Genomic DNA, 3,315 nt, shown 5'->3' with positions numbered 1-3,315 from the left:
AATATGTATGCAGTGGTTCTTATTAAATTGATATGAAAAGACAAACAAAAACTTCATAAAATTTTGTCCTATTTATGTTTAAGAAAACTATATATATATAATTTTATTTTTAATACAATGCATTTATAAGTGTTTATAAAAATTCTGTATAAAAAGCATCATATAAACTCACAAATTAGGGGCAAATTAGGATATATAACTATCCTAATTGATAGCAAATTTATAGAAAATCATGAAAAATGTAAAATATGTATGTTTGAAAAGGAACTAAAGCTAACATGAGAAAAAGAATTCCAAAGAAATGAAAATTATTTTGGCAATGTAGGTATTCCTATTCACTGCCTACGCATTCTATACAATAAAGAATTCTGCTGGGTGCTGTGGCTCATGCCTGTAATCCTAGCTACTGGGAAGGCTAAGTCAAGAAGGTTGCTTGAGTCCAGGAGTTCAAGACCAGCTTGAGTAACATAGTAAGACCCCGACTCTACTAAAATAATAATTTTAAAAATCCTACTTCACAGTCCATAATCAGTGACATGGGAGGTGGAAAAGTCTTAAAATCCCTCAAGAGGAAAAACTGTGGCCAACACAATTCATAGTTAAAAGATCAACCTGATATTGCTCACAAAGTTCTAAGTATTCTTTTAGATGTTTATGTGAATGCATTAATAATATTCTATTATTTGCCTTTGTCCAGTTCAGATAGTTTTCTTGCTCTTATCAGCATTGATAAGATGAAGTAAATCAGATGTGAGAGAAAGCACGGGAACCCATCATCTGTGCCTCAGCCACCGATTGTTCTCCTCTGGCTGTGCTCATCTTGCCAGTCTGCTGGCTCACAAAGGCCCCAGCTTTGATGTCAGTCTGACTGTTTGACAAAGCCAGTTGCAGATGCTCTTCATGGAGACAGCAGATTACAGACAATACCATGCTAAAGAAATGCTATCGTCTAGCCATGTATACACTGAAAGTTATCTCAGTGTATACATGGGATATGCTTCTTTCAAGAAGTCACAGAAATGAGGCAACTGTGGAATGAATGACAGGCATCTATTTATCCAAGTTACAAAATCTCCCTGAGAAAGACGAAATTTATCAGCAACAGCTAAGTAACAATTGTGTATGATGTGAAAGTCTTATTGATTCATTTTTTTAGGTGTAGCTGGAGAGACTAATGATGCATTGCAGCAGCCAAATATTCTCCACTTTCCCCCAGAACACTTTCAGCTTTTGAAAGTGAGCAGCAATAATATAATCACACTGTTAACTTTCAAGGATGCGATACAAATCTTAAAAACACATTTTGATCTTGTTATCCCTGTGACTTAGGAAGAGATTCTGATTTCACTTTTGTGAATACCTATGGCCATTAAATTCCATTTTAACAAATTTAGCTTAAAGTAATCTTTACTACTAGATACATATGGTTTCAGGTTACCATGAGGTACAAAGTTCTTCTCTTTACAATTTGAAATTATACTATCAGAATTCAGCAAATGACTTTGTTGATGTCAGAAGAATACACTTTGAGTTTTATCCTCATGTTTCTATCGGGACACTGCACACTGGTCAAGTCTCTCTGTCTCAGCAGCCCTGGAAACATCAAATAAAATGACATCTCTGTCCAGTCACATTTTTTTCAGGCTTCGACTTGAAAATCTTAGTCTTTGTCTCTTAAAAGTTAATGAATAAAATGAAATCTCTTACTTAGCTTTACTTTCCTTTAAAAACTGAAAGAAGATATACTTATCTTTGAGACCCAGACAATCTCATACTCAGAGTGACATCATTCTAGGGCTGTCTTCAGGCTTCTCATGACCTTTCATCCTTCCAAACACTCCTTTTGTCATTCAGACTTGAGAGCTTCCCACATTCCAAGTTTATTTATTTACCTTCATTAGACACAGTCTCCAAAACCCTTTTCTTGTTCAAATTAAACAGCTATGGTTTTAATTCTGGTTTGGAAAAGTACGAATAGTCTACTATATTTTGACTTTCATTTTGCTTTGGACAATTACAACAATAACTCTTAAATTTACTGAGTGCATATCTGTCACCATTCAATATATGCCTATCATTTCCTGCTTGATGTAAAACCAATAAAATGGGATAATTCAAAGAAGTTCCTTAAAAACAAGGCAAGTATTCGGTTAGATCTGTTCTCAAATGTGATTCATCAAGTTCAAACAGGCCATCAAGTTCAGAGGGCCTATTCAGTAGCAGAATTCTCCAGAAAATGCAGATTAGCCCCTAGTCACTAGCAAATTATCCAGCATTGACTAGGATAGCCACTGTAATTATACTTTAATTACCAACTCCTAATACAACTTATAAGACAAAATGTTTTAGATTTTTTTCTAATTAAAAATAGTAGTCAACAAAATTTAATGATTACAGGAAATCATTACACAGAAAGTTCCCTGTAATTTTCCCACCCTGGAAAATCATTATCAACAATTTGATACCAAATTACCCCTCTCAACATATTCTTATTTATACTTATAACAAGAAAAAAAACTACATACAGTATTTTTAAGAAAAATGTGATATGTATTCTAATTTGTTATCTGTCTCCTCATATTCTATCACATTTAGGTATCTTTCTGTGTGTTTCAGAAGAGAACTAAGTTCTAAAATTCATTTTGGGAAAACAAAAACCTCATTTTTTGAATGTTCCCTTTTAGTAATATCTTGTCTAAATCCAAATATCTACCAATTGTAGTAAACTCAAATGGAAAACAAGAAGATATTGTTGAGTATCTAATGCTCCTTAAAGCATAGCATTTTCCAAAGTCACAAAGTATATCAAGAAATCCACGAATTCTATCATTACTACACATGGCCAGATGGCAGAGGTGGTTGTATGGATCTCTGCATATCTGAATCCTCAAGGTTTCAATATGAAGTCATGAAGAATAATTGTTCTCTGGCTCTCTTTCTACATCCATTCTTTTCACCCCTCACTCTCTTCTTCCTTATGCCTATCTTAGCATCCAGATTTTTTTTTCTATGAACATATTGCATGACATTTTTAATTTTAGAAGTTTGAATTTGTTACAAGAGATTATCATTTACTCTACAGTAAGAGTAAACAAATGTATTGTGAGCTGTTTTCAACTCATCTAATTGTTTTTTTAATGAAGAATGTGGACACATGAAACATGCTTGCCTTCAGATGATATGCAAATTTACATAATATCTATCTTGTCTAAGTCTTCTTTCTATTTTTCTGTCTTTCTCTCCCTTCCTTCTCTCACTGCAGTAAGCAGGGCATAAGGGCAGCTGGAACATGTGGTCTTTTATTTGATCAAAGGT

This window comes from Homo sapiens, chromosome 6 (genome assembly GCF_000001405.40).
Source record: "Homo sapiens chromosome 6, GRCh38.p14 Primary Assembly".
NCBI lineage: Eukaryota > Metazoa > Chordata > Mammalia > Primates > Hominidae > Homo > Homo sapiens.
This window is presented reverse-complemented; position numbering follows the sequence as displayed.